The sequence below is a fragment of the Homo sapiens genome, chromosome 16 (genome assembly GCF_000001405.40).
Source record: "Homo sapiens chromosome 16, GRCh38.p14 Primary Assembly".
Taxonomy (NCBI): domain Eukaryota; kingdom Metazoa; phylum Chordata; class Mammalia; order Primates; family Hominidae; genus Homo; species Homo sapiens.
The window spans coordinates 3560254-3582837 of NC_000016.10; the positions used below are offsets into that span (position 1 = coordinate 3560254).

At 53.4% G+C, this 22584-nt stretch overlaps 2 protein-coding genes and 2 long non-coding RNA genes across 12 annotated transcripts in view, besides 5 other annotated features; 2 read left to right on the top strand and 2 right to left on the bottom strand.

Annotated features, from left to right (window-relative positions):
• Nucleotides 1-17150, bottom strand: part of NLRC3 (NLR family CARD domain containing 3) — a 38371-nt gene extending 21221 nt beyond the window's left edge. For 3 of the 5 annotated variants that reach the window (NM_178844.4, XM_047433770.1, XM_047433771.1), the window contains exons 1-6: nt 16896-17150; nt 6990-7071; nt 5066-5127; nt 4606-4807; nt 2756-4505; nt 1449-1535 (exon numbers count right to left, since the gene is read on the bottom strand). In NM_178844.4, the coding sequence (NP_849172.2) occupies nt 1449-1535; nt 2756-4505; nt 4606-4783 (2015 nt within the window). In that variant the 5' untranslated portion in view covers nt 4784-4807; nt 5066-5127; nt 6990-7071; nt 16896-17150. Of the gene's footprint in view, nt 1-1448; nt 1536-2755; nt 4506-4605; nt 4808-5065; nt 5128-6989; nt 7321-16895 lie in introns of those variants that run through there. The other 2 variants (NR_075083.3, XM_047433769.1) reach the window with 2 other exon arrangements.
• Nucleotides 1609-2109: an enhancer, noted in NCBI's record as "H3K4me1 hESC enhancer chr16:3611863-3612363 (GRCh37/hg19 assembly coordinates)". NCBI's record gives its function as "activates a minimal SCP1, AML or CMV promoter by ChIP-STARR-seq in primed H9 embryonic stem cells {active_cell/tissue: H9 hESC(primed)}" and the evidence as "EXISTENCE:reporter gene assay evidence [ECO:0000049][PMID:30033119]".
• On the top strand, nt 4695-11985 carry LOC124903632 (uncharacterized). The gene is made up of 2 exons (XR_007064955.1): nt 4695-4868; nt 10153-11985. It is a non-coding gene; the product is annotated as an uncharacterized LOC124903632 (long non-coding RNA).
• LOC105371060 (uncharacterized) lies at nt 17250-20968 on the top strand. Of its 2 annotated transcripts, XR_933019.3 has the most exons (3): nt 17250-18800; nt 19134-19218; nt 19459-19496. It is a non-coding gene; the product is annotated as an uncharacterized LOC105371060 (long non-coding RNA). The 2 variants fall into 2 exon arrangements; XR_001752061.3 differs by having other exon boundaries at nt 19134-20968.
• Nucleotides 18234-18283: an enhancer, noted in NCBI's record as "active region_10327". NCBI's record gives its function as "activates an Ori minimal core promoter by ATAC-STARR-seq in GM12878 lymphoblastoid cells {active_cell/tissue: GM12878}" and the evidence as "EXISTENCE:reporter gene assay evidence [ECO:0000049][PMID:35858748]".
• Nucleotides 18314-18493: an enhancer, noted in NCBI's record as "active region_10328". NCBI's record gives its function as "activates an Ori minimal core promoter by ATAC-STARR-seq in GM12878 lymphoblastoid cells {active_cell/tissue: GM12878}" and the evidence as "EXISTENCE:reporter gene assay evidence [ECO:0000049][PMID:35858748]".
• Nucleotides 18934-19033: a silencer, noted in NCBI's record as "silent region_7136". NCBI's record gives its function as "represses an Ori minimal core promoter by ATAC-STARR-seq in GM12878 lymphoblastoid cells {active_cell/tissue: GM12878}" and the evidence as "EXISTENCE:reporter gene assay evidence [ECO:0000049][PMID:35858748]".
• Nucleotides 20395-21190: an enhancer, noted in NCBI's record as "H3K4me1 hESC enhancer chr16:3630649-3631444 (GRCh37/hg19 assembly coordinates)". NCBI's record gives its function as "activates a minimal SCP1, AML or CMV promoter by ChIP-STARR-seq in primed H9 embryonic stem cells {active_cell/tissue: H9 hESC(primed)}" and the evidence as "EXISTENCE:reporter gene assay evidence [ECO:0000049][PMID:30033119]".
• The window catches only part of SLX4 (SLX4 structure-specific endonuclease subunit), a 30426-nt gene continuing 28769 nt past the window's right edge, over nt 20928-22584 (bottom strand). For all 4 annotated transcript variants that reach the window (XM_011522715.4, NM_032444.4, XM_024450471.2 and 1 more), the window contains one exon: nt 20928-22440. In XM_011522715.4, the coding sequence (XP_011521017.1) occupies nt 22089-22440 (352 nt within the window). In that variant the 3' untranslated portion in view covers nt 20928-22088. The remainder of the gene's footprint in view (nt 22441-22584) is intronic.

Here is a 22584-nt window from a genome sequence, read left to right on the forward strand (position 1 = left end):
ATCGACTAAAAATACAAAAATTAGCTGGGTGTGGTGGCATGCGCCTGTAGTCCCAGCTACTCAGGAGGCTGAGGCAGGAGAATTGCTTGAACCCGGGAGGCGGAGTCTGCAGTGAGCCAAGATCGTGCCACTGCACTCCAGCCTGCCCAACACAGGGAGACTCCGTCTCAAAACAAAAAAAAAAACAAAATTAGCCCTTGGGTTCTCTTCTCCAAACTCACCTCCCTAGGTCTGCAACAGCCACCCTCAGAGGATCAGTCACATCGATTCAACCACAAACCCCGAGTGTGTGTAGTTTCTCAGATCCAGGAATGTTATTCCAGGAGACGTTTCATAAGCACACATTCACCATGTGAACTTTTGTCTAATTACAAGATGAAGGTTTTTTTGTTTGTTTTGTTCTTTTTTGAGACGGAGTCTCACTCTGTCACCCAGACTGGAGTGCAGTGGCGCTGGAGTGCAGTGGTGCGATCTCGGCTCACTGCAACCTCTGCCTCCTGGGTTCACGCCATTCTCCTGCCTCAGCCTCCTGAGTAGCTGGGACTACAGGCGCCCACCACCACGCCCGGCTAATTTTTTGTATTTTTAGTAGAGACAGGGTTTCACCGTGTTAGTCAGGATGGTCTCGATTTCCTGACCTCGTGATCCACCTGCTTCGGCCTCCCAAAGTGCTGGGATTACAGGGGTGAGCCACCACACCCGGCCACAAGATGCAATTTTAATTAAAAATTGTTTAAATTGATTTAAAATTAAATTTGAAATTAAATTTTAATTAAATTAAATTTGAAATTTAAAATTTTAATTAAAAATGCAATTGGCTGGGTGCAGTAGCTCACGCCAGTAATCCCAGCACTTTGGGAGGCCAAGGCTGGCGGATCACAAGGTCAGGAGTTCGAGGCCAGCCTGGTTAACATGGTGAAACCCTGTCTCTACTAAAAATACAAAAATTAGCCAGGTGTGGTGGGCCCCTCTAATCCCAGCTACTCAGGAGGCTGGGGTTAGAGAACTGCTTGAGCCTGGGAGGCAGAGATTACAATGAGCCGAGATCATGCCACTACACTCCAGCTGGGGTGACAAAGCAAGACTGTCTGGGGGGGATAATTATAATCCTGTGCCTAGAATGCTGTTGGACAGCAAACTTGGAGAGGTGCTTAGAGAACATTGTGCCTGGCATTATGTCAGCACACGTAGTGCTGTGGAAACACCTGCCTGTGCACAGCGGTGTCTAGTCCCGCCAGGTCACCTCCCTCTTCCTACTGATGAGGCACCTGAGCCTCTAGCACTTTCTGGAATTGGGCAGAAACAAGCAGGCTGCATCTGGAGCCACATGCTCCAAAGACACTTCTCCGTGGCAGCGCCGCTGGCCAGCTGAGCAGAGGATGATGGGAAGAGGGTTCCATACCCCACAAGACCATAGGCACCCTGGAGGTCCCCTGGGTCTGTGTTACCTGATCTTCTGAATGCGACAGTCCTTCCCACTCAGCACGCTGCCCAGCAGCTCCATCACGGGGTCCTGGAACTGGTTGGTGTCCAGCCTGGCCAAGGGGAGCAGTGACAGTGAGTGTCCCACCCGCCCACGGGCAGGGTGGGGGCCCTGGCCCGGGGCCTCTGCCTCTCTCCATCCCATGCAGCGCTATCACCGCAGCTCTGAGATCTGCGCTCAGCCCCAGTGCTCAGACCTTTCCCGTGAGAGTGAACAGGAGGCTGGGTGCCCACGAGACCTGCGGTTCCTGTGCAGAACGGCATCTTCCACGGGCTGTCGTCCTCACCACCCCACATACCGCCTGCCTCTGCGGGACACCTGGATGACCCTCAGCCTGTGTCCTTTCCTCCCTACTCACTAAGGTCCAGAGTGGCGGGCAGGGGACAGGCTGAAAGCATTCAGCGGGTGTGCAGCTTCTATCAGACTGGATGGTTCTGAGGGGGTTATGAATTGAATTGTGTCCCCACAAAAGATATGAAGTCCTAACCCCCTGTGCCCCAAGTATGTGGCTTTATTGAGAAATGGGGTCACTGTGGATGTACTTTGTTAAGGTGGGGCCATGCTGAAGTGGGGTGAGCCTGTAATCCAGTGTGACAGTGTCTTTTTAAGACAAGAAAGCACTGGCCAGGTGCAGTGGCTCAGGCCTGTAATCCCAGCAATTTGGGAGGCTGGGGTGGGCGGGTCACCTGAGGTCAGGAGTTTGAGAGCAGCCTGGCCAACATGGTGAAACCCCGTCTCTACTAAAAACACAAAAATTAGCCAGGCATGATGGCGGGCACCTGTAATCCCAGCTACTAGGGAGGCTGAGGCAGGAGAATCGCTTGAACCCAGGAGGCAGCGTTTGCAGTGAGCTGAGATCGCGCCACTGTATTCCAGCCTGGGCGACAGAGCAAGACTCCATCTCAAAAAAAAAGAGAGGACAGCACCATGTGGAGACAGACACAGGGAGAAGATGACCAGGCGACGGGAGAGACTGAAGTAACGCAGCCTTAAGCCAAGGGTTCCCATCAAACACTGGAAGCTAGAGAGGAAGGAAAGAACCTCTCCTATATGTTTCAGAGAGCGCATGGCCCTCCTGGCACCTTGATTTGAGACTTCTGGCCTCCAGAACTGCGAGAAAACACACTTTAGTTGTTTTAAGCCACCAAGTTCATGGTCCTCTGTTACGGCAGCCCTAGGAGACTGACAGAGAAGCTTGGTGGTGGGGAGGGGACGGCTTCTGCTCTCTCCTCTGCCCCTTCCCCAGCCCCTGCCCCCTGCCCTGGTATCCACCTGAGCTTCCGGCAGTAGAGCAGCTGGGGCAGCAGGCTCTGAAGGACGCCCTGGCTGAGGCTCAGGGACAGGTTGGCCTCCTGGGCACAGGCGTCGGACACCTGCAGGAGGTAGGCCAGGGCAGCGCGGTGCGCGGGACCAGTCAGCCTGGCCAGGGCCCCGCTCTCCATGGCCTCCTCCACGCTGCGGGCCAGCTCGGTGTGCTGCAGCTCATGCAGGCAGTGCAACACGTTGATGGCCCGTGCACAGACTGCGGCATCGGGGCGCAGGCAGCCCTGCAGGAGCTCAGCCACCTGGGTCCGGTAGGCCTGGTGCTCGCCTTGGGCCAGCAGGGAGCCGGCCAGGAGGGCATTGACCCTCGGAGACAAGAGGCCGGAGAGGAAGCGCAGGAACACGTCCAGCCTCCCGTCCTCTGCCTGCATGGCCCGCTGGGCTGCGCTCCTGAAATGCGTGAGGAAGCCCAGCCTGGGCCAGGATACGCCGCTCTCAGTGAAGAGGTCGAAGATGGCCCTCCTGGATGCGCCATAGTAATACGCGGCTGCCACAAACTCCTGCAGGGACAGGTGGGTGAAGCAGTAGGCCACTGACGATGCCAACGTCTCCTCTCTCTGCAGGAAGCAGCTGCACGGGGCGCCCTGCAGCAGAGCGAGGTCTACACCAAACGCCTTCATGTCTTGCTCGTAAAACACGTATTTCTTCTTGAGCAGCCCATGGAAGGCCAGACGGCCCAATGTCCCCACCATCTTGCGGCCACCATGGGCCACCTGCTCGATGCGAGGGCTTGCCTTGCCCTTCTCCTGCCCCTCCCCGCTGAGGGCCATCCTAAAGTACCATGAGTAGAGCTCGCACAGGGTCCTCGGGGGCCACAGCTCTGCATCCTGGGGCCCCGTCCTGCTGCGCCACAGGTGGCCTAGCGCCATCCCCGTGAGCCTGCAGAAGGCTGGGACGGTGCACATCAGGTACAGGGCCCTGTCAGCCTGCACTTGGCTCAGCATCCAGCCCAGAAGGGCCTGGTCCTCGGGGAACATCTGCTCCAAACACACCTTGATCTCCTCCTCGTTAAAGCCCCGGATCTCCGTCATCCGGTCCACCAGGCCCCCTGGGATCTGGCCAGATGCACTGGGACGGGAGGTGATCCAGATGGAAACTTCCGGAAAGAGGTTGCCACGGATGATGTTGGTGATCAGGTGGTCCACCGGGATCTCCTTCTTTGGGTCCGTGCAGGCCACGGTGTTGGAGAAGTCCAGAGGCGTCCTGCACTCATCCAAGCCGTCCAGGATCAGGAGGGCCCTGGCTGGGACTGCCACCGCCAGGCTGGGCTCCCCGACGTGCGGGAAGACCGAGCAGATGAGTCGGTCGGCACACAGCTTCTCGTGGGTGTTGAGATCCCGGAAGGTCAGAGGCAGCACCAGCGAGAAGTCCTTGCCGACCTGCCCATGGGCCCAGAGGCGGACGAAGTGCCTCACCAGGGTGGTCTTGCCCATGCCGGCCACCCCGATAGTGATGGAGACCCGGGGTGGGACAGACACCCGGGAGAGAGGCAGGAAGAGCCGGTCCAGGGCGACGGTCCTGGCGGGGTGCCCGCCCCCGCGGGTGGCCTCCACCTGTGTGAAGTCGTGTTCCCTCAGCTGCAGGTCCGTCAGGCCCTCCACCAGCAGGAGGGAGGCCAGCCTGTGCCAGGGTCCGCCCAGCTCCGGGCCACCTCCCACCTTGCTCAGCAGGGCCTTGCGGTGCCTCTGTATCCTTGAGTCTGCGGGACAGAGGCCAGTGGGGAGGTCTGGTAAGGGAAGAGTGGGCACAATCAGCCCAGGTGTTCCCCACCCCGCGTCTGCCTCCCAAGCCGGTCCTACCATTGCTGCAGGGCCCCAGCGGGGCATCCGGTGTCCTATCCAGGGCCTGCGGGGCCTGGGAGCCTTGACTGCCCTTCCCAGCCAGCAGATCCATGAGGGCTTTCACCTGCTCGGCTGGGGAGCCCGTACCGTGGCCCTGGCCGGCCTCCCTGCCCGTCCGCACCTCTTGCTTCCTCATGGAGTCGGGGATCACCTCCAGGAGCTGTGAAGAGAGGGCCTGAACCTGCTGCCTGCCGTGCCCCCCATCCAGCAGCCTGGGACAGGTGAGCAAGTCCCCAGGAACGGGGTCAGGGATCCCCTCTTCCTCTTTCCTCAGCCTTTGGGTGGCCCACTGGCCTGGCCTCTGAGAATGGACTGGAAGGGCCATTTGTTCCTGGGTGGTAGCAATGATCACACGAATGCAGGGGCCCAGTGGATGATAACTGGGGCCCTGAGCTTGTACCCCGGCCCTGCCACTTACCAGATAGGTGACTGAGGGCAGGCTGAGTCACCTCTCTGCGCCTTGGTGTCTTCATTTGTGACCTGGAAATGATGATGAGGTTACAAGTAAGTTTGCTCAAAAGGAGGGAGGAATGAAAGAAGGTACTCTGTTGGAACATGTGGGAAAAAGCAAAAAAAAAAAAAAAAAAAAAAAAAAAAGGCAGCAGCAGCCACTCTGGGGACGCTACACTGTGTGATTCTGACTAACATTCTGGAAAAGGCAAAAGTATGGAGACAGGAAGACAGTGAAAGAAAGGGTCAGTGGGGGCCAAGGGTTGGGGAGGAGGGGTGAATCGGTGGAACACAGACAATTCCTAGGGCAGTAACATGACTCTGTAGGGTACTACAGTGGTGGGTCCATGTCATTATCATTATACATTTGTCCAGACCCACAGAACGTACAACTCCAAGAGTGAGCCCATGGCTGGGCACAGTGACTCACACCTTTAATCCCAACACTTTGGGAGCCTGAGGTGATGGATCGCTTGAGCCCAGGAGTTTGAGACCAGCTTGGGCAACATAGTGAGAACCCATCTCTAAAATTTTTTAAAAATTAGCCTGGTATGGGGTGTGTGCCAGTAGTCCCAGCTACTTGGGAGGCCAAGGCAGCAGGATCGCTTGAGCCCAGGAGGTCAAAGCTGCAGTGAGCCATGATCACACCACGGCACTCCAGCCTGGGTGACAGAGCAAGACCCCATCTCTAAGAAAAACAAAATAAAACAAAAAACTTAACTCTTCTTGCTCCTGAGTTAGAGCAAAAAGCAAAAAAAAAAAAAAAAAAAAAAAAAAAGAATGAGCCAGAGTATACACTATGGACATTGGGTGATGGCGACATGTCCGTGTAGGTTTACTGATTATAATCAATGGACCACTGTGGCAGGGGACGGTGATAGTGACAGAGTCTGGGTGGGGGCAGGCATGGGGTGTATGGGAAGTCTCTGTACTTTCCCATCAATTTTTCTGTAAACCTGGCCAGACGCGGTGGCTCATGTCTGTAAGCCCAGCACTTTGGGAGGTCGAGGCGGGCAGATCACTTGAGGTCAGGAATTTGAGACCAGCCTGGCCGATATGGTGAGACCCTGTCTCTACTGAAAATACAAAAATTAGCCGGGGAGGGTGGCTCGCGCCTGTAATCCCAGCACTTTGGGAGGACGAAGTGGGCAGATCACCTGAGGTCAGGAGTTCAAGACCAGCCTGACCAACATGGAGAAACCCCATCTCTATTAAATATACAAAATTAGCCAAGTGTGGCAGCACATGCCTGTAATCCCAGCTACTCAGGAGGCTGAGGCAGGAGAATCACTTGAACCCGGGAGGCAGAGGTTGCAGTAAGCTGAGATCATGCCATTGCACTGTAGCCTGGGCAACAAGAACGAAACTCCGTATAAAAAAAAAAAAAAAAATTAGCCAGGCGTGGTGGCTGGTGCCTGTAATCCCAGCTACTCAGGAGGCTGAGGCAGGACAATCACTTGAACCTGGAAGGTAGAGGCTGCAATGAGCTGAGATTGCGCCACTGCACTCCAGTCGGAGGGGAAGAGCGAGACTCCGTAAGCCTAAAATTGCTTTACAAGGAAAAGCTTATTAATTAAAAAAAGGAAATAAAAGATAGAAGAAGGAGGAGTCAAAAAGGAGAAAACGCTGGTTCTCAGAGCGGCTGTTTTTCTTACTATGTTCCTGGGGTCTCCTGGGAGTGCAGGAGCTCCTGGGCTCCCAGCAGTGCTGTTTGCCCTCTGCTCGTGGGGATTGTGATGCAGAGATGCTGAGAGGCAAAGCCAAGGCCCCCCACTCCCATTTGCCTCCTTGTTGCCAAGGCTGGTTGTCCCCCCGCCCCCACAGCCCTCCCACACCCAAGCTGTACACTAAGGCCGGGAACTCGCCCCCACCCACCCTGCTCGCCTCCTCACCGTGCACCCTGGCCACAGCAGCCCCTCCAGTGGGGCCCCAGGAACTCAATGGATGGGGCTCAGCCTTCCGTTGTCCACAGTTCTAGGAGAAAAAACACAATGTGGCCAGCAGAGGTGATGGCTCACTGCTGCTGATGGCAGCCCTGCATTCAAAAATAACACCAGGTGTTGTCACTGCATAGAGAAGCAGGTTGGACCCCACCTGTCCACAGGGCATTTCCCTGGTTCTCAATGTTTAGCTTGCTGTTAGGCTGGGCGGTGTGGCTCACGCCTGTAATCCCAGCATTTTGGGAGGCTGAGGCAGGCGGATCACCTGAGGTTAGGAGTTCAAGACCAGCCTGGCCAACATGGTGCAACCCCATCTCTACTAATAATACAAATGAGCTGGGCATGGTGGTGGGCGCCTGTAATCCCAGGTACTCGAGAGGCTGAGGCAGGAGAATTGCTTGACCCTGGAAGGCAGAGGTTGCAGTGAGCTGAGATCACGCCACTGCACTCCAGCCTGGGCAACAGAGCGAGACTCCATCTCAAAAAAAAAAAAAAAAAAAAAAGCTTGCTGTCTGCAGCCCTGGGATTCAGCAGGCTCCCTGGCCTTGGATTAGCAGTGGGGAGCCTAGCTTTTTCTTTCTTTCTTTTTTTTTTGAGACGGAGTCTGCTGTGTTGCCCAGGCTGGAGTGCAATGGCGTGATCTCAGCTCACTGAAACTTCTGCCTCCCAGGTTCAAGCAATTCTCCTGCCTCAGCCTCCCAAGTATCTGGGATTACAGGCACATGCCACCACACCTGGCTAATTTTTGTAATTTTAGTAGAAGCAGGGTTTCACCTTGCTCACCGGGCTGGTCTTGAACTCTTGACCTTGTGATCTGCCCACCTCAGCCGAGCCTAGCATTTTAACACAGGTGATGCTTTTTATCTGGAAAATGATAAAAGAAGCTTAGCAATAAGTAAATAGTAAAGTAAAAATAAGTAAAACAGTAAAGTAAAAATAAGTAAAATACCATTTTTCAGGCATTCAGGTCATGGTGTTGAAGAAGTAAGGAGTGCGATCAATTTGAGGTTGCTGGCACCCAGGCCAGCTGAACTAACCTGGAACATTAGGAACAGGCCAGGGCAAGGCCAGTCTCCTTATGCTGCCCCAAAGCCTGTTCTTTTATTCTTCTAAATGTCAAAACCAAGAGGGATAAAAAATATGGGATTTTGGGCTAGGCACAGTGGCTCATGCTTGTCATTCCAGCACTTTGGGAGGCTGAGGTAGGAGGATCACTTGAGCCCAGGAGTTTGAGACCAGCCTGGGCAAAGTAGTGAGACCGTAGCTCTACAAAATAAAAATTAAAAATTAGCCAGGCATGGTGGTTCACGCCTGTAGTCCCAGCTACTCAGTAGGCTGAGGTGAGAGGACTGCTTGAGCCTGGGAGGTTGAGGCTGCAATGAGCAGAGATTGCACCATTGCACTCCAGCCTGGGCAACAGAGTGAGACCCTGTCTTAGGAGAAAAAAAAAGATGGGATTTGAATTGACATTGCCTCATGTGTATGGGTCCATGTGGGTAATTTGAGGTCCTTCTTTAGATCCTTCTGTAAAACTTTATATTTTTTCTCATCTCGGTCTTGCCAGTTCCTTATTTGTATCTAGGTATTTTTAAAAACAGTTTTTGTCGTATGATGAATATTGTTGGTATAAAAGATGATTGATTTTTATTTTATTGCATGTCTCATCAACATATTAAATATTCACATTGGTTTTCATCATTTTCCAGTTAATTTTCTTCAGGTTTTCAAATTACTTCAGCAAGGCTGGGCGTGGTGGCTCACACCTATAATCCCAGCACTTTGGGAGGCCAAGGTGGGCAGATCACTTGAGGTCAGGAGTTCGAGACCAGCCTGGCCAACATGGCGGAACCCCATCTCTACTAAAAATACAAAAGTTAGCTGGGTGTGATGGCGTGTGCCTGTAATCCCAGCTATTGGGGACACTGAGGTTGGAGAATCGCTTGAACCCGAGAGGAGGAGGTTGCAGTGAGGCGAAAACGCACCACTGCACTCCAGCCGGGGTGACAGAGAGAGACACCATCTCAAAAAAAAAAAAAAATTCTTCAGCAAGAAGAATTTTTATCTCTTTATTTCTGAAAACCATATATATATATATATATATATATTATTTTTTTTTTTTTTTTTTTTTTTTGAGGTGGAGTCTCGCACTGTCACCCAGGCTGGAGTGCAGTGGCACGATCTCACTGTAGCCTCTACCTCCCATGTTCAAGTGATTCTCCTGCCTTAGCCTCCCCAGTAGCTGGGATTACAGGCACGCACCACCATGCCTGGCTAATTTTTGTATTTTAGTAGAGATGGGGTTTCACCATGTTGACCAGACTGGTCTTGAACTCCTGACCTCAAGTGATCCACCCGTTTTGGCCTCCCAAAGTGCTCGGATTGTAGGTGTGAGCCACCGTGCCCAGCCCAAAAACTATAACTCTTATTTTGAACAATTTTACCACATTGGCCAGGCCTACCCCTTCCTTGGAGCAATAAGGTTGTTGCAGGCCTTCTTGTTTTACTCTAGACTAGACCAGGAGTGGTTCTTGCCCAAACTGTTAGGTGTGATGTTTGTGACAGATTTCTAGTTTTCTTCTCCGATAGAGAAAGATTTATTTTGTTCTATTACCATTCAAATACTATTATGTAATATTTACTGAAGGCATACTGTGTTCTGCATATTCTGTTAAGCACTGTATTTCCATAATTTATTTCTCATAACTCTCAATACCATTATTTCTCCCATTTTACAGATGAAGACACTGAGGCTCAGAGAGGTTAAGTGACTTGTCCAAGGATACACAGCTGGGAAGTGGGAGTTGGGATAGAAATCAATTCCTCACTGACACCAGTGCGTGTGCTGTATAATCTACTGCCTCTTAAGGTAGTTTACACTTTTTTTTTTTGAGACAGAGTCTCAACTCCTGACCTCAAGTGATCCACCCACCTCAGCCTCCCAAAGTGCTGAGATTACAGGTGTGAGCTGCCGTGCCTGGGCAAAATTTTTTAAGATAAGGAATATCTGTTAAATTAGCAAATTACTTTTTAGCATATATTGATATAAACATATGATTTATTTCTCTTCATTTATTCAACCAGCAAATATTTATGGAGAGCCTGTTGTATGTTCTAGGCCCTGGGGATGTGAAGGTGACCAAGTTAGATCAAGTCCTTGACCTGCGGTTTGACGGGTAAGGGATAATGGCAATGGAAAGGAAAACAAGTCAATAAGCAAGGCAGTTTCTGCTGGTGGTTAGTGCTGTGAGTGGAATAAACTGTGAGTGACAAAGAAGCCTGGAATTCTAGGGGGAGGAGGAGCAGAGGTGGTAATTGGCGGCTGGGGAAGGCTGCTGTGAGAGGCCTCTGAGAAAAAGCTACCTAGGAGTAGAGAGGGTGAGAAAGAGTCATGCAGAGAGCTAGGGGAGGGACATTTCAGGCCAAGGAAACAGCAAGTGCTTAGAGGAAATGTTGCTGGAACATGGTAAGTGAGCAAGTGGCACCACCCCCTCAGGGCTGGAAAAGCCAGTCACCGTTGTTGTAAGGAGTTTGGATTTGTTCTAAGTATGGAGGGGAGCCACTGGGGGGAGTGACATGAGCAATGGATATCAGATCTCTCCTGGAATCCATGAGCTACACTAAATGATTTTCTGATATTGAACCAACCTTGCATTCTAGAATACAGTCTTCCATTTGTATTATTAAATAGAAGATGTATATATTCCATATATGTAAAAAATGTGTGGGCTAGCACAAGAATAGATACATAAGTCAACAGAATAGGATATAGAGGCCAGGAACAAATATATATTTATAATATCTACACATTAAGGAGTTTGGTAACATGACAAAAATAGCATTTCAAATCAGTGAAAATGGCATTGGGGCAATTGACCAGCCTATGAAAAATATTTTCCAGCTGTAATTCACATTAAACACAAAATTTATTTTCAGGTCAATTAAGGAGTTAAAAGTTGTAAACACAAAACCATAAAAGCACAATAAGAAAATATGAGATAATATTTTAAAATATTATTTAGGTAAAGGTTTTTTACAGTGAGACGTAAAACTCAGAAGTGTCAGCCTGGGCAACATAGTGACACACCATCTCTACAAAAAAAAAAAAATAGATGGGGCTGGTGGTGGGCACCTGTGGAACTAGCTATGGGGAGGCTGAGGTAGGAGGACCCCTTGAGCTCAGGAGGCTGAGGCTGCAGTGAGCTATGATTGTGCCACTGCAATCCAGCTTGGGTGACAGAGCAAGACCCTGGCTTTAAAAAAAAAAAAAAAAAGCAGAATTCATGAAGAGGGAGACTAGTAAATTTGTCTTAATTGAATTAAAATATTAAATAATTAAATATTTAGTTTGATATTAAATAATTAAAATATTTGCCAGGCGTGGTGGCTCACGCCTGTAATCCCAGCACTTTGGGAGGCTGAGGCGGGTGGATCACAAGGTCAAGAGATCAAGACCAGCCTGGCCAACATGGTGAAACCCCATCTCTACTAAAAATACAAAAATTAGCTGGGCGTGGTGGCACGTGCCTGTAGTCCCGGCTACTCGGGAGGCTGAGGCAGGAGAATCGCTTGAACCCGGGAGGCAGAGGTTGCAGTGAGCCAAGATGGCGCCACTGCACTCCAGCCTGGGTGACAGAGCGAGACTCCATCTCAAAAAATAATAATAATAATTAAAATATTTATAAGTAATAATAGATGCCATAAAGTTGAAAGAAAAACTATAAGCCAGGAGTCAACATTTGCAACATACATGGAAAAATATGAATATCCTTAATATATAAAGAACTTATAAATCAATAATAAGTAACCAAACAGAATTATGAACCCCAAATGAAATAGAAAAAAGGACACAGATAATTCATAGAAGTATAAATGACCAAGATATTGAAAAGATGCTCAGTGTCACTAAGGATCAAGAAAAAAGCAAAAGAATAAACTATCATTTTTCATACGTCTCATTGGTGAATATTATAACATAACAGACTGCATTGGTGAGAACATGGAGGTAGTGGGAAATTTTTTTTTTTTTTGAGACAGGATCTCACTGTGTCACCCAGGCTGGAGTGCAGTGGCATGATCAGGGTTCACTGCAGCCTCAACTTCCCTGGGCTCAAGTGATCCTCCAAAGTAGCTGGGACTACAGGCGCATGCTACCACATCCAGCTAATTTTTGTATTTTTTGTAGAGACAGGGTCTTGCCATGTTGCCTAGGCTGGTCTCCAACTTCTGGGGTCAAGCAATCTTCCCACCTTGGCCTCCCAAAGTGCTGGAATTATTGGCATGAGCCACTGTGCCAGGCCTGTAGTGGGAATCTTAATTCATAGTGGGTGGAAGTATAAATTAGTATAACAATTCTGGATTATAATAACCATTATCTGTTGTCATTAAATATCTTTTGTCCTAGAAATTCCACTTCTGGGAATTTATCCTAAAGAAATATGTGGGCCAGGCGCGGTGACTCACACCTGTAATCCTAGCACTTTGGGAGGCCAAGGCAGGCAGATCATCTGAGGTCAGGGGTTCGAGACCAGTCTGGCCAACATGGTGAAACCCCGTCTCTACTAAAAATACAAAAATTAGCTGGGCATGGTGGTGGGTGACCGTAATCCCAGCTACTCAGGAGGCTGAGGCAGGGAATTGCTTGAACCCAGGAGGTGGAGGTTGCAGTGAGCCGAGATGGTGCCACTGCACTCTAGCCTGGGCGATAGAGCAAGACTCTATCTCAAAAAAAAAAAAAAAAAAAAATCAAATATCTAGGAATAAATCTAGCAAAATTTGCAAGACCTCTATACTGAAAACTATAAAACATTACTGAGAGAAATTAAAAAACATCAAAAGGAGGGATGGAGGCTGGGCACCATGGCTCACCCCTGTAATCCCAGCACTTTAGGAGGCCAAGGTGGGTGGATTGCTTGAGCCCGGGAGTTTGAGACCAGCCTGAGCAACATGGGCAAAACCCTGTCTCTATAAAAAGTACAAAAAAAAAAAAATTAGCTGAGCACGGTGGCGCATGCCTGTAATCCCAGCTACTCAAGGAAGCTGAGGTGGGAGGATCGCTTAACTCCCGCCGTCAAGGCTGCAGTTAGCTGAGATCTCACTACTCCACTCCAGCCTGAGTGATAGAGCAAGACCCTGTCTCACACACACACACAAAAGCTAGCAATTATCTAAACATTCAAAGGTATGTCAGCCCAAATGAAGCAGTGCTACTGTCTGCCTGATATGCCAGAGGCCAGGATACGGGGTCCTCTGTCCTTCACTGTGTGACATTAGGGTGTGGCCCAGGTGGACACAGCCTCCTGTTGTTGGATGTCCATGTGCACCCACCAGGTGACCAGCCCTGCTGCTGGGGGCGGGAGTGGCCAGGAGGATGAGAGGACTGCGTGGAAGAAGTCTCAGCTCTGGTAGGGCATCATTTGGGGTCTTATTGATTGATTGATTTAAAATTTTGGTAAAATACACATAACACAAAATTTACCATTTTAACCATTTTAAAAATAATTTTCCTTAAAAAATAGAGGCAGGGTCTTGCTTTGTCGCTAAAAAATAAAGACAGGGTCCTGCTTTGTTGCCCAGGCTGGAGTGCAGTGGTACGATCTTGGCTCACTGCAGCCTCGACCTCCTGGGCTCAAGTGATTCTCCCACCTCAGCCTCCCAAGTAGCTGGGATTACAGGTACAGGTGAGGACCACCATGCTTGGCCCATTGTAACCATTTTATCTTTTTTTTTTTTTTTTTTTTTTTTTTTTTTTTTGAGATAGAGTCTCACTCTGTTGCCTAGGCTGGAGTGTCGTGGCACTATCTCGTCTCACTGCAACCTCTGCCTCCTGGGTTCAAGTGATTCTCCCGCCTCAGGGTCCTCAGTAACTGGGATTATAGGCACCCACCATCAATACCATTTGTATTTTTGTAGAGACAGGGTTTCACCATGTTGGCCAGGCTGGTCTTGAACTCCTGACCTCCAAAAGTGCTGGGATTACAGGTGTGAACCACTGCGCCCGGCCTTGTGGAGCACGGCTTTTAAATAACCAACGCTCGGCCTGACCACCCAGAGATTTGATTGGTCTGGCAAGGGCCCCCACGTGGATCTAGTTTAAGCTCCTCCGGTGGTTCTAACCAGAGTTGAGAACCACGGGACCCGAGCGGGGCTGGGAGAGGAATGAGGGAGGGACAGTGCTGGCAGGAGTGAGGGGTTGGGGCGAGGCAGGACTCACAAGCGCCTGGGAAGGCGGGGACGGGGTGTAGGGGGCTGGCAAGCACCCCTGCCTCTGTGGCCTCATTAGTCTCTCAGTATTGGGAGTCAGCACTCCCTCCTGATCAGACACCCATCTTTGTGGCCCCATGACCTTGGGTCCAGGGTTGCCAGATTCAGCAAATTAAAATACAAGACAAACCTGGGCACAGTGGCTCATGCCTGTAATCCTAGCACTTTGGGAGGCTGAGGTGGGCAGATCACCTTGAGGTCAGGAGTTCAAGACCAGCCTGACCAACATGGCGAAACCCCATCTCTACGAAAAATACAAACATTAGCTGGGCGTGGTGGTGGATGTCTGTAGTCCCAGCTACTCTGGAGGCTGAGGCAGGAGAATCGCCTGAACTCAGGAGGTGGAGGCTGCAGTGAGCCAAGATCACGCCACTGCACTCCAGCCTGGGTGACAGAGCGAGACTGTCTCAAAAAATAATGATAAAATATGAGATATCCACAGATAATTAAATTTCAGATAAACGACATATAATTTTTAGTATAAGCATAGCTTATGTCATACTGGAGACATACCAAAGAAATGGATTATTTGAAATTCACATTTGACCAAGTGTCCTGTATCTGATCTGGCATCCCTGCTCAGGCCCCATTCAGACGAAACGTGGCTTTCATCCTGGACACTGTCCCTAAGAAGGACAGAGGAGGGGGTGCAGGTGAACCAACCCCCCTGCCATTGCCAGCACCTCCCAGGACCAGCCCCAAAGGCTGATGGGGGCTGGTTACCTGGCTGCCACCGCTGCCAGGCCCTGCACGCAGCCCTAACATCCCCCTGGCAGGCTGGAGCCTTCCACAGACCTCTCAGCCGAGTGAGGTCGCGAGGCCGCAGACGCCACTATGGATGGTCAGGCGGCCCCTGTGAGCGCAGCTGAAAGACAGAGAGACTGAGGACAGGTGGGACTCGGGTTGCTTTGGGGGATCTGAAGGCCAGAGGTCGCTCCACAGCTGGTTTGAGCTGCTGCGAGCAGGGCGAGGCCAGAGGGACGAGTAGGTGCCACTGCTGCCTCCTCCCCGGGAGCCTCCCAGGTAGCACCAGGTTTCACCCCTAGAGCTTTGTCTGTGAGCGAAGGTGAACCTGAGGCCTTCCTGGTGTGGTGTGGGCTCAAGCCCAGTTCCTCAGGCTCAGCAAGTGGCCTGCTGCCTCATTCCTGAGAAGCCTCAGTCCCGACGGACTAGCCGCCTCTGCCCATCACCCGCCCACCTGATCTGTGCCTCAGTCCTTGCCGGGACCTGCTGGGTCCTTCCCTGCCACTTGGCGCCCGGGTGGGACTTCCCAGTGCTGGCTGCCTACCTGGGCTGCCAGTATCTCCCACCACGGCTGCTTGGATGCTCCTCTCTTCCCACATCCTGCCCCTGCCCCCTCCCAGGGCCTTGGAATTCAGGACTCGGTTCTCTCGAGGTGGCCCCAGCATCATCACTTGAGCTCAAAAGCCTTCCCGAAGGAAGAAGGAAGTGGCACCTGCACCTCAGGGCCCTACCCTGCTCACTGCATGGACCCCTGGAGTCCAAGGGGTGGAGAGGCCCAGCCCTGGGGAGCCCAGCACCCTGGGACAGAAGAAGAGGGGTGCAGCCTGCAGCCTGTGATGGCCAACAGTGAGCCCCAGGCTCAGGGTCACCTCCAGGGAGGGGTCCAGAAAAACACCAGGGCCTCTGGAGCCTGGCCATAGGGGAAGACCCTGCAGCCAACACCCAGGCTGGCCCAGGGCAGTGGCACTTCTTCCGAGAAGGCCTCTGCGGTTGCCGTCTCTCTCGACCCTTGTCTCACCCAAGGCTGTGGGCAGGAGAGGCCCTGGGGCTGCCCACTCGCCTGGGGGCGGCGCCTGCACCCTCCCTGCCCCTCATGACCTCGCCCCTCCTGTGCTGTCACCTCCATCTACAGGTGGGGTGCTGAGGCCCAGAGAAGTAGCCTCCCATGGGGGGTCCCAGTGCCAGGAAGGGTGCCCAGGTCTGCCGATTCCCCAGGCCGTGGCTCAGCATCACCACTGCCTGCCCGCAGCACCTTCAAGATGCTTCCTGCTTCTCCTGGGCCATCACTGGTACCTGGGGGAGCTGGGTTTTGTCCCTGGGACCTGTCCTGGGCCATTCTTAGTTACCTGTTTTTTCTTTTCTTTTTTGTTTTGTTTTGTTTTGTTTTGGAGACAGTCTCGCTTTGTCACCCAGGATTGAGTGCAGTGGCTCGATCTCGGCTCACTGCAACCTACGCCTCCCGGGTTCAAGCGGTTCTCCTGCCTCAGCCTCCCGACTAGCTGGGTGGGATTACAGGCGTCTGCCAACATGCCTGGCTAATTTATTTTTTATTTTTAGTAGAGATGGGGTTTCACCATGTTGGCCAGGCTAGTCTCAAAGTCCTGACCTCAAGTGATCCGCCCACCTTGGCCTCCCAAAGTGTTGGGATTACAGGCGTGAGCCACCGTGCCTGGCCACATCTCTTTTTTCTACAGCATGAGCCAGTCCTGCCCCAGGAGACAGCTTCTTGGAGTCTCGTGGAGTCTCCCCAGTCCCCCTCCCCAGAGTAGCTCAGGCCTTAAGGCCACTGTCCTTCCTGCCAGCATCCCTTCTCCCTCCCCTGCCCTGCACTGAGGTCACCTGGACCCAACTTACCTCCCGGGCCTCGATGCTGCTCCAGGGACAGCAAGACTGGGGGGCCTGGGGGCGTCCATCTCCATGCTCCTGGGCTCAGCCCTGCTCCAGCTGCGTGGTGGTAGATGCCCTGGGAATCCCTGTGCCAGCCTGAGTTCTCAGGACCAGGGATCAGGGCACTTACCACGCCAACCAACCAACCGTGTGGGGGCCGAGAGCAGTGCAGCCCCGACCTTCTGCAGCCCCACCGAGCCCACCGGCTGTCCCTGTGGCTCCGGGTCCTCACCTCTTCCTGTGCTGGGCTCCACCTCATTCTTCCTTCCTGTCTGATTTCAACAGCCAACAGCCTCGCAGACACATCGAGGAGCCGGGGCACCCTGGCTTGGTCACCGCCCCCGTGCAAGTTAAGTGCGGGGGCGATGCTGGGGGTCTTGACTCTGGGATTAAGTGTCCCTGCAGGTGGCATGCTCAGGATAAAGTGGCTGGTGCCAAGGCTGTTGACACATCACCTCCATCCCGCCACAAAGGAAGCTGCCCCGCCATCAACAAATGCTTGTTTTCAGGCGGGTGGTCAGGAAATCAAGTGAGCAGCCTGAGGTCACGCAACTAGAGGGTGACCCCAGCAGGACTGGACTGTGCCCTGCCACCTCCAGGCCACCCCTGTGGCTCTCCTTATTTATTTATTTAATTTATTTATTTGAGACAGAGTCTCGCTCTGTTGCCCAGGCTGGAGTGCAATGGCACGATCTCGGCTCACTGCAACCTCCCCCTCCCAGGTTCAAGAGATTCTCCTGCCTCAGCCTCCTGAGTAGCTGGGATTACGGGCATGCGCCACCATGCCCCGCTAATTTTTGTATTTTTAGCAGAGGAGGGGCTTTGCCATGTTGGCCAGGCTGGTCTTGAACGCCTGACCTCAGGTGATCCACCCACCTTGGCTTCCCAAAGGGGTGGGATTACAGGCGTGAGCCACTGCGCCCAGCCTATTTATTTTTTGAGACAGGATCTTGCTCTGTCACCCAGACTGGAGTGCAGTGGTGTGATCTCGGCTCACTGTAGCCTCTACCTCCTGGGGCTCAAGTGATCCTCCTGCCTTGGCCTCCCAAAACACGGAGATAACAGGTGTGAGCCACTGTGCTCCCTCTTTTAACACCTCTTGCTTTCTTTTCTCTCTGTCACCCAGTAGGCACCTCTGACTCAGCTGTGCCCCATAACATCTTCCTGTGAGCAAAGGGCTCCCCAGAGGCAGGTCACCTGTACCCTAAGAGGAAACAGCAGAATGTTGCCGTCCGCGGCAGGAGATCGCACTCGGCCCCTGGAAGTGGACCTCAGTGGGTGGCCTGCCCTGACAGGGAAGGGCGTGAGGGGGAAGGACATGGCCCAGAGCAAGCCACATGAGAAAAATTACAATAAAGTATGGGACATCCGCTGGGGACAGGGAGCAAGCAACATGGGGCCACTGAGGGAAGGAGGTGACAAGGTGGGAGCCAAGGGACAGGGGTCCTGGGGTCTGAATTTTCCTCAGCAAGCAAGTGGGAGCCAGCAATGGTTGTAGAGCAGGAGAGTAGTGGGTCTGGACTCATAGAGCAGCTTGTGGCTCAGGGGAGGTAGGAGGGTTAGCTGGTTCCCCAGAGCCTGTGTGGGTGATGGGGGGGAGGGAACTGAGGCAGCAGACCAGAAGTGCTCCTGCACATTCCCCTGCCTGCCTACCTTCTTTTGTCCCTCCTTCCTCTCCCTCCCTCCCAACAATGCTTTCTGAGCACCCAGGAACCTGCTGGGTGCTGGGAGGACACGATGGACCCTCGAGAAGGCTGCCCGAGGCTCCAGGCAGGCAGAGTGCAGACCCAGCAGCTGCAGCCTCGGCTGTGGGGAGCAACAAAGGCGCCTGAAACCAGGCCGCCCACAGGATGTTGGAAACCACAGGGCCCGGTGGGTATCCGTCACATAAAAGGGGCCAGAGGCTCACACTGCCTCCCTTTGTGGCTCAGGGGGATGGATGCGGAGCCTGAGAGGACACAGCCTCATCCACGGGATCTTGGGGAGCAGCCCAACCCAGCCCAGCCCAGCCCCGCCCCGCCCCGCCCCGCCCGTTCCTCCCCCTCGCAGGAATGTCCATCAGTCCACACAGGGCTGGTCCCATTCCCCACTCTGCCCGCTCTGCTGAGAACCAGGTGGGCCGTCCTCCTGGCTCCTGGTGGAGGTGGGGGTGCTGGGCTGGGGGCTCCCTAACTGTTCTCACTCTGGGGCTTTCTGTCCACCCAGAGCTGGGGTCAGCCAGACAGGAAGCGACCTCAGCCCTTCCTAACTCAGCAACAGCGCAAGGCCCCTGCCTGCAGGCTCTTTCTTTGTAAGTGCCCTTGCCTGGGCCCAGGCTGGGGTGTGGCTCCCCTGTGACTGCCTTGAGGGGCTGTGCCCAAGCCATGCCAGGTTGGGGCCACCAAAAGTGGGACAGGCCTGGAGGCCTGTTCATATTACAGTGAGGCATAGACAGACCCGTTTTCTGATTTAGTTGTTACCAGTGAAAGTTCTGCTGCCAGTCTTTTATTCTCCCCCTTTAGAAATGTTTTTAATATTGTTTTCAAAATAGAGACTTGGCCTTACTATGTTGCCCAGGCTGGTCTCAAACTCCTGGGCTCAAGTGATCCTCCTGCCTTGGCCTCCCAAAGCACTGGGATTACATGTGGGAGCCACCGCACCCGGCATGCCAGCTTCCTTCTCAGTCACTCCTGGAAGGTAACTCTCTCTCGCCTTGTCCATGAAGAGGCCCCATTGCCTGCCAGTCTTGCTGCAGGCGCTGTGAGAAGGCATTTTCCATCTGTCAACTGGACCTAGTTTTATGTTGCCCGGGTCAGCGTCATCCCTGTAGCAGGGGCCAGGTCTACTCCTGGATGCCACCACGCCTCTGTGGGTTCCTGCAGTGACTCCTTCAACCCTTTCCCTCTGGAGGAATCAGCTGCTTCACAGCTTGTTTCAGGACAAGGAAATGCTGCTTTGTACAGGTTCAGGGCCAGCATCCAGTCCCCTGGCTGGGTGGCAGTGCATAAACCAAGCCTCTGCCCAGCGCTGTCAGCCCAGGGAGCGTCCAGCAGCCCCAACTGAATCCAAGGTCACCACAAGGCTCGAATCCAGTCCCCAGGCCATGCCTCCCCTGGCCTTGGGCTCACACTGCACTCAAGGCTCCTAACCCAGCTTGTTAACTACTTGGAACCCCTCCCCCAACCCATCTTTACCAGCCTTGAAGTTCTGAACTTTCAAGTCATGGCACATAACACATACTTCCCCAAACCACAAACCCTGCGAGGCCGGACAGGGGCCCCGAGTCCCCCACCTGCACCACTCCCTCTCGCTTCCCTAACACCAGGGAGGGGGATCAGCCCATCAAGGAAGCAGTGCGTGATGCCTTCCGAAACAGGCCAGAGGCCAGCCTCAGATTGATCACAGCTGATCTCAGCCTCTCAAATTGTTCGCCCCGGGCACCGTAAGCTGGGAGGCCTGGGCCTCTCCGCTGGTTCACGTGCCAGGACATAGTATGTGCGCCAGAAATCACATTTCACCCCCTAAATGCTGCTGAGCCCTAAGATGCAGCTCACAAACCCCTCTTCTGGGAGGCTGTCCCTGACACGGCCCTTCAAGCCACTGGAGCCCGACTCCCCACCAGGCTGGGATAGGCCAGCGTCTGTCTCCTCCACTGGACCGGACGCAATGGTAAAGGCATGTGCTGTCTTGGTGAGTTGTGGGGTGGGGCCTGAATCTGCTTTTGTAGCAACTCCCGGCTGAGGCAGCAGCTGGGGGTGCTTGGGCCCCACTTTGAGGTGCGGGGGCTGGAGCTTGGCACCCAGCCAGGGCTCTGTTGGATACGGGTGTGTGGATTAATGGATGAACATCTGCATCTCTGGTCTGGGAACTGAAATGAGGAGACAGCAGGCCCAGGTTACTCCAAAGTAAAGGGCAGGTGCAAGGTGGGGACTTCTGCAGGCGTGGGGCACGGGCTGAGGGGCCACGGTGCCTCCAGGTCCCCCGTTTCGCTCGTGGTCTCCCTGGAGTGTGGCAGCCAGATTTTAATAAAGCCTTTTTGGTTTATTGCACATCATATAAAACTGACTGCACTGTATTTGAAACAGACGAGGACATTCACAAGGATGGAGAAACCAAGGTTTCCTTCTTTCCTGGCCCTCATCTTCCTCCACACTGCTCCTGAGGCTGGAGGCAGCTTTAACCCAAAGAATGGAATCCGCTAGTGAACATGTTTGTTTTGTGGTGGCATCAGAGTTGTTCTGGGCCCTTGTGCACTGTCCAGTTTGGAGACTGCTGGTAACAATGACAAGTGTCCGGGTAGCACGGCTGGGTCAGGAGAACTGCATCTGGGCTGTGGCAGTGCAGGGAGCCTCAGGACACCTGGTCTCAGGCTGGCGGTGGCTGGGGTTGGCCTGAGTGCTGAGGAGGACGGGCCCGGGCTGCCGGGGCAGGCTGGACCTGACGTCCATCTCAGGACAGACATGTAGGGCAGCTGTGCCCAGGACTGGTGGGCTCAGAGGGTGGCAAATGTGGCAGAATAGGCCATGCCCTGGCCAGCTGGTGATGGCCCACTGCCCCCTGGGACAGCTGAGGGCCCTCTTGGGTTAAGGGAGACACACTGGGCCGGGCGCAGTGGCTGGCGCCTGTGATCCCAGCACTTTGGGAGGCCGCAGCAGGCGGATTGCCTGAGCTCTGGAGTTTGTGACCAGCCTGAGCAACATGGTGAAACCCCGTTTCTACTAAAATATAAAAAATCAGCTGGGCGTGGCAGCGTGTGCCTGTAGTCCCAGCTATCTGGGAGGCTGAGGCAGGAGAATTGCTTGAACCCGGGAGGCGGAGGTTGCAGTGAGCCGAGATTGTGCCACTGCACTCCAGCCTAGGTGACACAGCACGACTGTCTCAAAAAGAAAAAAAAAAAGAAAACCAAAAAGGGAGACACACTGTGAGCACGGACAGAGGAAGGGGCTGGAGTCTGTAAATCCAGTGGGTGACATGCTCCAAATGCCACCCTAGAAAGCAGAGCCCAGAGGAGGAAGCCCTGGATTGGGCTGTGGTCATCATCACAGCGCAGAGCTGATGTGGTCCCCAGGCCCAGAAATGCCTGTGGAGGCCTGACCCACGCTGGGTGTCCCAGGTCCTCCCTGCAAATGGCGGGGGTGGGGGCTGCTGATGGCAGGTTGGGGTGGGGTCGGGATGGCCCCATCAGTTCCGCTCCACCTTCTTCTTGCCCCGAGGCTGCCGCCTCCTGCCCTGGAGCTTCTCCCTGCGGGTGGCGGCAGTGGTGAAGGTGATACAGTGGGTGTCCAGGAAGTCCAACAGCCTGCGCGAGGACACACGGAGGCCGTTCTGCCTCAGCTCTGCCTGCAGCTCCCGCAGCTCAAAGGGCTGGTACAGCAGCACCTTCTGGTACAGGGCCGGCTTGGAGCGGATGTAGCACCTCAGCGCCTCGTCTGTGTCCGCCGCCTGCACGGCTGCCTGCGAGGCACTGACCTCCCCCTCGCCCTCCTCTTCACCTGCAGACTCAAATGCCGCTCCAAACTCACAGGAGGAAGAACTGAAAAGAGCCAGACCAGGACGTTGTGCAACCCCTTTCTCTCCAGCCCCTGAGACCATGAGCCTCTTTAAAGGAAGGAAGGTGTCTACGGGTCCCATGGAGCCTGGCCTGTGGCACGATCCCCAGCAAGGCAGGACGGGCCTG